Source organism: Homo sapiens, chromosome 5 (assembly GCF_000001405.40).
Source record: "Homo sapiens chromosome 5, GRCh38.p14 Primary Assembly".
NCBI lineage: Eukaryota > Metazoa > Chordata > Mammalia > Primates > Hominidae > Homo > Homo sapiens.
Window position 1 is genome coordinate 61,372,236 of NC_000005.10, and position 12,924 is coordinate 61,385,159.

At 39.5% G+C, this 12,924-nt stretch overlaps 1 protein-coding gene and 1 pseudogene across 1 annotated transcript in view; both read left to right on the top strand.

Moving 5' to 3' along the window:
• The window catches only part of ZSWIM6 (zinc finger SWIM-type containing 6), a 213,915-nt gene that overhangs the window by 39,978 nt on the left and 161,013 nt on the right, over positions 1 to 12,924 (top strand). The gene's annotated exons all lie outside the window — the stretch shown is intronic.
• Positions 2,823 to 4,797, top strand: LOC100421561 (family with sequence similarity 133 member B pseudogene; annotated as a pseudogene).

The window sequence follows — 12,924 nt, forward strand, 5'->3', positions numbered from 1 at the left end:
GCCCTCCTTTGACACTGAGCCTTTCTACCCCATTCTTACCCTCTGCCCTATTTTTTTTTTTTCATATCCAAATTTCTTCAAAGAGTGATCACATTCACTTTATTTCTTCACCTTGTACTTCATTCTTTTAACTTTGGTCTGCCCCAGCACTCCACTGAACCTGCTAAAGATGCCAGTGTTGCTAAATTCAGTGGGCTCTTCATTCTTCATCTTATTTGACAACTCAGTAGCACTGAACACAGCTGACCACTCTTTCTCATAACAGTCTTTACTGGACTTTGGTAAATCAAGATCTGTTGGTTTTTCTCTTACCTCTTTGGTAACTCCAGTCTTAGTTAAGCCACCTTCCTCTTCCCGCTTTTTGGACCCTTTTCCTACTCTCCTATACTCTCAAACCACTATGTACCAGGTTCAAGTGTTCACTTCTCCTGAGCTCCAGACTCCTGTAGTCCACCTATTCATAGGACATCTTTATTTATTTGTTACACTTGTGCCTCAGACTTAACTATTTTCCTTTCAAACCTGCTTTTCTCTATTAGTTTCCTAGTTCTGTAAATGACACCATCATTTATATCATTTCTGAGTTGTTCAAGTCAGAAAATTAGCAGCGTCTTATCATTTTTACCTCTTCAATATTTCTTTTTTTCATTTAGTTATTTAATTTAGATATGAATTAAGATTTTTTGTGTTTAATTTGTAGGAACATTTCTTAAAAAATTATAAATTATACAAGTCATACATGAATATATTCTTATAAAAATAAAAATATTACCTCTTTGTTACCCATAATTTTCACTTCCTTTCTCCAGAACTAACCACTATTATCAGTTTGGTTGCATACTTCCAGAACTCTTTTTATTCATTTACGTTTAAAAAATTTTAAAAAATACCTTATAGAGTGGGGTCTTAGTATGTTGCCCAGGCTGGTTTTGAACTCCTGGGCCCAAGCAGTCCTCCCACCTTGGCCTTCCAAAGTGCTTGGGATTACAGGCATGAGCCACTGCACCTGGCTCTATTTACATTTAAGTACTGATTTATTGAAGCTTTGCTAGAATGTGTCAGTCACCACTGGGTCTTTTTTTGGAGGGGGAATATTAGAACATTTTGACTACTAAAATTTCTTCTACTCAGTATTTCTTTTTTTTTTTTTTTTTTTTTTTGAGACGGAGTCTCGCTCTGTCGCCCAGGCTGGAGTGCAGTGGCGCGATCTCGGCTCACTGCAAGCTCCGCCTCCCCGGTACTCAGTATTTCTTAAATGAATCCTTTCTTCATCATACTGCTGCTACCACTGGTACCCTAAGTCTAATAATCACGTCTGGTTCATTGCAGTAACTTATTTTCTCTATTTCCACCCTTGTCACTGTGCAAATAAACTATCTTCTACATTGTTACCAAATGATCTTTAAAAATCATCTAATGATCATAATCTTTTCTTGCTTAAAATCTTACTGATTTTTCACCATTCTTAAGGCCAAAGTCTAAAATTCTTACTGTTGTCTACAAGGCCCTTCATCATCTGGCCCCACCTACTTCTTTAATATCATATCTTACTCCCCCCCACTCGTCAACAGAGAACTTTTTTTTGATATCTAAGATTTTTAGCATTAAAATTATAGGATGTAGTAGAAATGAAAGTTTAAAAATATTGCTTGTAAAATTATTCTTCATTTTAATGTATATTCATAATTAGCTCACTTTATGCATATGTGTCAAATGAGATAGTTTTTGTTAGTGTTTATGAACTGTAAAACATTAATGTAAAATATTGTTTCTCTTTACTTTTTGTTTCTATCTTGCCTTTTGCTTTCATCTACTTGATAAAAGATACTATACATGTGGTAATAATTCTGTAGGAATGTTGGAGTAGAATGGACATGATTTTCTAATTTGGAATGTCCTTTGAATGGAAAATTAGAAAACAGTCCATAAAATAAACCATTATGTTAGGGGTGATATGTTCAAAAGAAAAGATTTTTCCGGATCATCTGTAGAGGTCTTTTTAAATTCTTTATGCCTGTGTCTTTAGCTTCCATTTTAAGAAAACATATGGCCGCCATAGAATTGTTTCTTATTTATATTTAATTTATGGATAAACTCAGGGAATCTGCTATTTTAACAGTACTTTTGGCGTTCATACATTTTTCATATAGCCCTTCTGTCTGTAGGAGGGAGGTTAATGCCAAATACCATTATTGCCTGTGAGGAAGACCATCATCTTGTGATTGGACCCATACTAATGAAATATGAATGCTCTAGTTGAGCCATGAATCACATCATTTGTACTTGGTGGAGCAAAATTGCCAGCTTTTTATTTTATTTTATTTATTTTATTTTTTGAGATGGAGTCTCGCTCTGTCGCCCAGGCTGGAGTGCAGTGGCCCGATCTCGGCTTACTGCAAGCTCCGCCTCCCGGGTTCACGCCATTCTCCTGCCTCAGCCTCCCGAGTAGCTGGGACTACAGGCGCTCGCCACCACGCCCGGCTGATTTTTTTGTATTTTTTAGTAGAGACGGGGTTTCACTGTGTTAGCCAGGATGGTCTCAATCTCCTGACCTCATGATCCGCCCGCCTCGGCCTCCCAAAGTGTTGGGATTACAGGCGTGAGCTACCGCGCCCGGCAGGGTTGTTTCTTAAAGGTAAATAAGCTCCCTAAATTTGTCTGTAAATTGGAAGTAACTCCAGTGAAAATGCCAACAGGAATTTTTTTTTGGCTTGACAAACTAAGGCTAAAATTAATATAGAAATGAGCATACAATAATAGGAACACTATGAAAAAGAAGAGTAATGAGAGGTGGGACCAAGTCTATAAGATATTAAAGGGTAAGTCTCTCCGGCCCGGTTTCCCTCGGTGTGCTACTGTGCGCGCGATCCAGCACCATGGGGAAGCGGGACAATCGGGTGGCCTATATGAACCCAATAGCAATGGCGAGATCAAGGGGTCCAATCCAGTCTTCAGGGCCAACAATACAGGATTATCTGAATCGACCAAGGCCTACCTGGGAAGAAGTAAAAGAGCAACTAGAAAAGGAAAAGAAAGGCTCCAAGGCTTTGGCTGAATTTGAAGAAAAAATGAATGAGAACTGGAAGAAAGAACTGGAAAAACACAGAGAGAAATTGTTAAGTGGAAGTGAGAGCTCATCCAAAAAAAGACAGAGAAAGAAAAAAGAAAAGAAGAAATCTGGTAGGTATTCATCTTCTTCTTCATCAAGCTCTGATTCTTCCAGCAGTTCTTCTGATTCTGAAGATGAGGATAAGAAACAAGGAAAACAGAGAAAGAAAAAGAAGAACCGTTCACATAAATCTTCTGAAAGCTCCATGTCAGAAACTGAATCAGACAGTAAGGATAGTTTAAAAAAGAAAAAGAAGTCAAAAGATGGAACTGAGAAAGAAAAGGATATTAAAGGACTCAGCAAAAAGAGAAAGATGTATTCTGAAGATAAACCTTTATCATCTGAGTCCTTGTCAGAATCAGAGTATATTGAGGAGGTGCAAGCAAAAAAGAAGAAAAGCAGTGAAGAACGAGAAAAAGCAACAGAAAAAACAAAAAAGAAAAAGAAGCATAAGAAACACAGTAAGAAGAAGAAAAAGAAGGCTGCTAGTTCAAGTCCTGACTCACCGTAACATTAAGAAAAATCAGGATTCCCTTATAAAGAAAGTGCAATGTCTGAGGAAATTTCAACTGTGAAAACTACAACATATTTACTAAAATGCATGAATTTTCTTGTTTTTAGAATTATTCCTGGACTATTCAGTAGCCACTCAGATGCCACTGTGTGAAAGGGCCATAAATGTTGCCTGCTGCTTGAACATCTATTTTTTTCTCTTCCAGTGCTTGATAACTCTGGGAGATAATACACTGCAGTCGTACTAGTGGTTAAGATATTTGGGAATAAAATTAATACTTTTGACTAGAAGCGTCTAAGGATAAACCAACAGAAATTGAATCTGGATACATCTTTAAGATGTAATCAGAAATGACCAGATGACTCTAGTTAGAATTTTTGAAGGAGGGATTACATTAATATTTCAAAACCCTTACTCTGTAGATAAGTGTATTTTAATTTTTTCCCCTCGTATACTTTTATTTACCTGGGGAAGGAGCTTTTAGGGTTGGGGGGTGGTTTGCTATCTCTTTAGCTAGCAGAATAGTGTGCCTTTGATCCTCACACATCTGTATTATGGACACAGTAGCCATGCTTCACGGGGAGGTCAGAGCTGGCTACCAGCAGTCTTGCCCTTTACTGAGCTTAGTGTCATCTTTGGATGCTGTCATATGCTGCTTTGAGTGAACCAGAGAAACAGCCATTTGCAGCATGAGAAAGCCCCAAAAGCTCTGGGATTTACCTCCACTTCAGTAATAATGAATATTTTTTAGCATTAGAATGTGTTATGTCATTTGAATTAATTTTGACTACACTTTGGCTTGGGAGAGGAATTATTTTAAATAGACATTGGTACTTTTTGAACTTGATAGCTAAAGATTCTAAAATGCATGTTTTATACTAAGTTTTAACCAGTCAGGAAAATTTTATGTAACTAGTGATAGTTTATTTTTTTGTATGAATTTTGTTTAGGCTGCAATGTTTAGCTTTTGTTAACTCCTCACTCTTGCTGTCTTAAGTTCATTACTATGTTTAATGGCCTACTTGCCAAGATATTTAGCATGTAAAAAGCAGGGTTTTGATTAAAAAAAAAAAAGGCTTCATATTGAAGCTGAGACTTACAATAACAAGTTGAGTGGCAAGCCTGGTATGCTGTGTCTTATTGCCAGAATCTTAGTAAATGTAATGTTTAAAAAAAAAAGATATTAAAGGATAGTAAGCTACAATAATTAAAACTGTGTGATGAAGGCACATGTATAGATCTAGATCAGTGAAATAAAATATGAAGACAGGAACCTGGAGACTGCAGAACACACAGAACATGATAAAAGTAGCATTTTAAATCAGTGAGGGAATTTATTCAAAGGGTGTTGGGATAACTGGGTAGCCATCTGGAAAAAAATAAAGTTGGATCTATAATTTATACCTCCACCAGAATGAAATTTAAATGGATCAAACTTTAAAAGGCAAAGTCACAAAAGAAATAGAACTAAGCAGGGGAGAAAACTTGTATAGTTTAGAATGAAAGTTTTTTTTTTCTTGACATAAAACCCTGAAACAATAAAAAAAACAAGATTCATAAGTTAGATTGTATAAAAAATAAAAGATTTTGCATACTTAAAACTACCGCAAGCCACTTTGGGAGGCTGAGGCTGGCGGATCACGAGGTCAGGAGATCGGAGACCAGCCTGGCCATCATGGTGAAACCCCGTCTCTACTAAAAACAAAAAATTAGCCGGGCGTGGCGGCATGTACCTGTAATCCCAGCTACTCAGGAGACTGAGGCAGGAGAATCTCTTGAACCTGTGAAGCAGAGGTTGCAGTGAGCCAAGATCACACCACTGCACTCCAGCCTGGCGACAGAGCGAGACTTCGTCTCAAAAAAAAAAAAACCCCACAAAGTCAAAAGACAAGTTTGAAAAATGTTTACAGCTCCACAAAGATAGACAAATTTCCTTGATGTATGAAAAATGTCAACAAACCAATAAAAAGACTAACAATTCAGTAGAAAAATGGACAAAGAACAAATATGGAGATTCATAGAAATGAGAGATAAATGTACATGATGAGAAGGTGAGGTGCTCACTTGATTTATAAGAGAAATGAAAATTAAAACTACACCAGATGCCATTTTTTAAAAACCTATTACATTGATGAAAATAAAAATTTAGCAAATTGTTAGCCTGAATGGGGAGATAGGTACTTGAATTTTGTGTGGGAATGTAAATTAGGACAGTCTTTATGGAGGATAATTTTATAGAATCCATCAGATTTATAAATGCACAGACCTATTTGACCCAACAATTTAACATCCAGATTTTTATCTTATGCCAAACTGAAATGAAGAATGGCCAAGTTTTATTGAGGCATCATTTATAGTAGCAAAACACTGGAAACAAGCTAAATGTTCATTATAGAAGACTGGTTAAATAAAAATTTGTCCATCGAAGATGGAGTAGCATGTAGTTATTAAAAAAGAATAAGGAAAATACTGATAGAGGATGATGTAGATATTAAATGGGGAAAAAAGTAAAACTCCACAAGATGTAGAACAGTATATGTGTTTTGCTGCCGTTTGAGGAGAAAGGAGAAAATACAGAAATATTTATATGTTGCTTATGTATGCATACAACATTTGTGGATGGATTCACAAGAAAATGGTAGCCTTAATTTACCTTGAGACAAACTGAGGGACAAGGACACCCTTTAATACCTTTCAGATATTTTTTTTTTTTTGAGACAGGGTTTTGCTCTTGTTGCCCAGCCTGGAGTGCAATAGCGTGATCTCAGCTCACCACAACCTCCGCCTCCCAGGTTCAATCGGTTTTCCTGCCTCAGCCTCCCAAGTAGGTGGGATTACAGGCATGCGCCACCACGCCTGGCTAATTTTGTATTTTTTTAGTAGAGATGGGGTTTCTCATATTGGTCAGGCTGGTCTTGAACTCCTGACCTCAGGTGATCTGCCCACCTCGGCCTCCCAAACTGCTGGGATTACAGGCGTGAGCCACCACACCTGGCTACCCTTTCAGTTTTAAGCCATAATAAAAATTACATGAAATTGGGCTGGGCACGATGGCTCACTCCTGTTATCCCAGTGCTTTAGGAGGCTGAGGCAAGAGGATCACTTGAGGCCAGGAGTTCCAGACCAGCCTGGGTAATGTAGCGAGACCCTGTCTCTACAAGAAGATAAAAAAATTAGCTGGGTGTCGTGGTGCGTGCCTATAATCCTAGCTACTCAGGTGGCGGAGGTGAGAGGATTGCCCGAACCCAGGAGTCAAAAGCTGCAGTGAGCTACTGTGATCATGCCTCTCTACTCCAGCCTGGGCAATAGGGTAAGATCCTGTCTCTGAAAAAAAAAAAAAAAAAAAAAAAAGAATGTAAAAAGATAAATAAAGAATAGTTTGGAAGTTAACATTAAGTCTGTATCTTCAGTTTATTACTTCAGAAATGTTTTTCTTACTGCAATTTCAAGGCTAGACCTCGTGTAGGGAAATCTTTTTGTATCCTGGAAGCAATTTTTTTGATTTGTGAAGTGTTTTATTGCCTCTCTTTTCCTTTAAATCTTTATTGTCTAAACGATTGCACTGAAGTAGACTGTCATTTTAAAATTGTAGGGATTTACTTGTGGTCGAGTAATCCATTGCCTTTTATAGTTTCATTTTTCCAAAGGGTCTTTGGACGACTAGTTTTGAGTTGAAAACTATATGAAGACAAATAATTTAATACCACAAAGAAGTGAGGATCCTTTTTTCTAGTGTGTACTGAAAACAGCTCTTTTAGGAATTTTTCATTTCCATTGGTTTTTGTCTTGTGATATATGTCTTTTCATGAGGGATAAATTTTATTTGCACTCACTGTTTATGGAGTATCGAGTAAAAACTAGAACAAAGCAGAACGAACCTTCCTATACAATGCCTTCCCACAAAAACAAATACCTCCCTCAAAAAATTTCTGCTCTGAACATGAAAATGCTTATCTGCAGCTTGACATTATTAGTATGTCTGAGTCCTAGGGTAGGTAGGAGATCCAGGTATTATCATTCAAAAGGAACTGAAAGTGTGAGCACTCTTTGAAAAAGCACTATTAGCAATGTAAATGCCAAGTTACATCTGATAGGCAAACTCTTAAGCCTGTTTGTGTGATATTTAAGGTGAGAAAATAGTTTTGCCTATTCTTTATGACTTTGAATAGCCTTAGGACTATTTCATTCTGTTTATTACTCTGTCTTCATACTAGATTTCTTTTTTTTCTTTTTTGACACGGAGTTTCGCTCCTGTCACCCAGGCTGGAGTGCAGTGGCGTGATCACAGCTTACTGTAACCTCCACCTCCCAGGTTCAAGTGATTCTCTTGCCTCAGCATCCCGAGTAGCTGGGATTACAGGCACCCGCCACCACGCCCAGCTAATTTTTGTATTTTTAGTAGAGACGGGGTTTCGCCCTGTTGGCCAGGCTGGTCTCGAACTCCTGACCTCAGGTGATCCGCCTGCCTCGGCCTCCCAAAGTGCTGGCATTACAGGCATGAGCCACTGCACCCAGCCCACAGACAGTCATTAGTAAGTATTCTCTTGTAAGTTTTCCTAACAATTAACATCTGTGTACATTGGTTTTCTTGCTAAACTTAACTCTAATTTTTGCCAGTACTAATATGTAGTATCCACTCATAGTTTTTAGGACTTCAAAATCTGAGTGTATTGGGTATATGGTATCAGCGTCAGCATTCATATGAAGCCTGAGAGTCCTTTCTGTGTGTCAAGTCAGGAGGTGTAGGTGTAGGAAATGCTGATCCAGGTAGGACTGTTTGGCACCTAGCAGGTACTCAAGAAATGTTTACTGGAAAATGTTAACTTGAATCAAGGGAGATTATACTGTTATGCACTGGCCATTAAGTCTTCACTGTTGACTTTTGCTCTCTTTGGTTTTTATGCCAGAGATTGCTAACCCCTGGTTTAGAATTGTTACTACAAGCATAAAATCATTTATGGGCCGGGCGAGGTGGCTCACGCCTATAGTCCCAGCACTTTGGGAGGCAGAGGCAAGTGGATCGCTTGAACCCAGGAGTTAAGAAAGCCTGGGCAACATGGCGACACGCAGTTTCTAGTACAGAAAAAAAAAAAGAAAAAAAAAATACAGGCCAGGTGTGGTGGCTCACGCCTGTAATCCCAGCACTTTGGGAGGCTGAAGCAGGTGGATCACCTGAAATCAGGAGTTCAAGACCAGCCTGGCCAACACGTCGAAACCCTGTCTCCACTAAAAATACAAAAATAATTTAGCTGGGCGTGGTGGCACGTGCCTGTAATCCCAGCTACTCGGGAGGCTGAGGCAGGAGAATCACTTGAATCCGGGAGGTAGAGGCTGTAGTGAGCCAAGATCGTGCCACTGCACTCCAGCCTGGGCAACAGAGTGAGCCTCTTGTCTCAAACAAAACAAAATAAAACAAAAAACAAAAATTAGCCAGGTGTGGTGGTGAGCGCCTGTAGTCCCTGCTATGTGTATTCATAAACATTTATTGTTCCTTGTAGTATGTAATATATTTGTAGAATGAGTCATTCTGGGACTTACTTTTTAAAGAGTATTTTCCAAATTCTTTTTTAAAGTGAAAATTATCTTCAGCATTTTTTTCCTTTATGACTCTATTGAATTTAAATAAGGCAAGGTACATCTATCCTACACAAAGCTCAAAGTAACATTATGTGTGTCATGGCTTCATATTAAAGGATGAATAAAAGTACATGCTTGCCTCAGTGGTGAGCAGTTGTCCATAGTTTTTTTTGTTCTGTGACATGTGGCTACTTGGCTATGGAAAACTAACACACAGTATATTACCTCTTTGATCATCAGAGTGATATATTTTTCCCTGTTGTTCAGCTGTAACTCCATATAGTCACCCTTTTGAATGCCACAAGAAGGGCTCTTTTTCCCTTTAGTAATTGAGGTATTCATGCAGTGTGGAGTGAATAGATCCCTCCAACACAGTGCATTATATAGTAGTTTTTTGTGTGGATACATGTAATACAATCCGTTCAAAACAAATGTAAAATTTACTAAGGCTTTTCATGTGGAAGTAGAATGCATATATCTTTCTTGATATAACAAATGAATTTGGTTGTAGCTAACGTGTTGTACTAGTAAAGGTCCACCTGCTAAACTTTTTCTTTTTTGTTGAGGTATAGACAGTAGAGTGATACCGATACATGAGGAAAATGAGAACTGGAATGCAGGCCAAAAGCTGGTCCTTTCCAGATGAATGCAACCAAGACTAAGTAGCATCATGTTCATCTGATAGACAAGTGTGGCTGGTGATGGCTGGTCCTGCATGCTGTGTCATGCATGCCGATTCTCTCCACACATAGCTGTCAGTCATTTGGTGACAAAATAGCCAGAAAATGCATCTTTAATATTTTGGATTAGAAAGAGACAATCCTTTCTACCTCAACTTTTCTCTGATATTTTTTCAAAGGAATTGAGTAGTCTGCTGCCCCTTGGCATGGTACTCTGATCAACATTTATAATCTTAAGATGCATTTTTATTTATGATGAGGGACTCACCTAGAGTTACATAGCAATTAGTAATAAAATTGACTAGATTTTAATGATGCCAACGGTTCTTTCTTTAATAATTTCTTCAGTTTTCCAAAATAACAGCAGCAAAGTCGTGATGCCTTATGTGTAGAAAGAAAAAATTTGGGCTGGGCGCAGTGGCTCATGCCCATAATCCCAGCACTTTGGGAGGCTGAGGCAGGTGGACCACCTGAGGTCAGGAGTTTGAGACCAGCCTGGCCAACATGGTGAAACCCCCCTCTACTAAAAATACAAAAAAATTAGCTGGGCATGGTGGTGCACTCTGGTAGTCCCAGCTACTCGGAAGGCTGAGGCAGGAGGATCACTTTAATCTGGGAGGTGGAGGTTACAGTGAGCTGAGATCGTGCCACTGCACTCCAGCCTGGTTAACAGAGCAAGACTCTGTCTAAAAATAAAAAAAAAAGAAAGAAAGAAAGAAAGAAAGAAAGAATTTGGTGTTTAGAGTGCATGGGGAAGTAGGTAGGAAATTAGGGAGCTAATTTATAGCAGATTAAGATACAGAATGTCCGCAAAGTCAGAGAACATAGGATGCATTTAAATAACATGCTCAGTGTTATTTTCTTTAATCTCCAAACACCTTTCCAGGTGAAGTTCCTTTAATTTCAAATCATCGAATCTCATTCTTAACCTGAAAGTGGTACAATAAATACAGTCTCCAAAAAGTCTGGACACACAGGGAAAATTGTGTGTTATTCAGTGATCATCTTACTTGAAAATGTAACTTACATACTTTTAAAAAATAAGTTTATTGTATGTTTATTGAATTTTCAGATACCCTGTATTTTGCTTCTATTTAGGATTTCCTTTCTTTTTAAGTTTCAGGCATAGTGCTAAAATAACTAGGTACAGTCAACAAAGAGACTAGGCAGCTGACAAGCAGCCCCCACCCCACTGGGTTAAAGATCTAGGCAGCCTGGAGGTGGGAGGATAATGAAAGGCAGGTGATGGGAGTGGAGGACCATGTGCCTGGCTGGCTTTCTCTTTACCTCCAGCAGCTGGCGGTAGTCATAATTGAAATCTTGATCTTATTTTGAGTGAATGAAGACCAGGAAAGGTTGATAAATAACAATATTTGTTAATATTTCTTATTCTAATCTGGTACCTACTGATGTAGAAGAACTTTCTCTTTTTTTTTTTGAGACGGAATCTCGCTCTGTTGCCCAGGCTGGAGTGCAGTGGTGCAGTCTCAACTCACTGCAACCTCCGCCTCCCCAGTTCAAGTAGTTCTCCTGTTTCCTCCTTCTCAAGTCCTCCTGAGTAGCTGGGACTACAGGCACATGCTACCACGTCCAGCTAATTTTTGTATTTTTAGTAGAGACGGGGTTTTACCATATTGGTCAGGCTGGTCTCGAACTCCTGACCTCAGGTGATCCACCTGCCTCGGCCTCCCAAAGTGCTGGGATTACAGGGATGAGCCATCACACCTGGCCAGAACTTTTTCTTATACATGCTAATACCTTTTGGGATTGGTTTAAGTAATAGGACATCTTATTTTTTAAAACAAAAAACTTATGCTAACATCAGTAATATTTCTACTGAGAGTGGCCGGGCGCGGTGGCTCACGCCTGTAATCCCAGCACTTTGGGAGGCCGAGGCAGGTGGATCATGAGGTCAGGAGATCGAGACCATCCTGGCTAACAAGGTGAAACCCCGTCTCTACTAAAAATACAAAAAATTAGCCGGGCGCGGTGGCGGGCGCCTGTAGTCCCAGCTACTCGGGAGGCTGAGGCAGGAGAATGGCGTGAACCCGGGAAGCGGAGCTTGCAGTGAGCCGAGATTGCGCCACTGCAGTCCGCAGTCCAGCCTAGGCGACAGAGCGAGACTCCGTCTCAAAAAAAAAAAAAAAAAAAAAAAATTTCTACTGAGAAACACTACTACTTTACTGACACCTAAGAATTCTGCCAGATAAAATGTTGCTTTCTTTGCTAAAACAGAGCTCTTTGATCTTTGCTGGTAAGAATTCTTCTGAACTGAATAAAAGTTTTTAGAACATGCATGGTGGTGAAAAGTATACATAGCCCTTTGAGTCTGGGCAGGGAAGAAAGAAAGTTTCACAAAGGCTAAAACAAGCCACCACTCTCATAAAACCTGATGAACAGTTGAGTCTGAATTCATGAGATTATGGGGTTTAGAAAGTGTGAAGATGGATAGGCGACCAGTTTGGCTTTAGTGAGATTATTGTTTCTGTTTGCTTGGATAAAACTCAGGTGCTGGTGGGGTGACTTTGAATGTTGATGGAATATTAGAACTTTTGTGTCCCCCAAACTGCTTAAATCTTAGGTCTGTTGGACCATATGTAAATGGCCTTCTTTTCATATTCACTTTTTTTGCTCTGCCATCTTGTAAAAATCTTGGAGGAGGCCGGGCGCGGTGGGTCACACCTGTAATCCCAGCACTTTGGGAGGCCGAGGCAGGCGGATCACGAGGTCAGGAGATCGAGACCATCCTGGCTAACATGGTGAAATCCCGTCTCTACTAAAAATACAAAAAATAATTAACTGGGTGTGGCGGCAGGCACCTGTAGTCCCAGCTACTCAGGAGGCTGAGGCAGGAGAATGGCGTGAACCCGGGAGGCGGAGGTTGCAGTGAGCTGAGATCGTGCCACTGCACTCCAACCTGGGAGACAGAGTGAGACTCCGTCTCAAAAAAAAATCTTGGAGGAAACTCCTGCAGTCCTGGGGTTTGACTAAGTGGTCTGTGCAGCCCCTTCCATCTCTAAGGTGCAGTGCAGTCTGTCATTTCT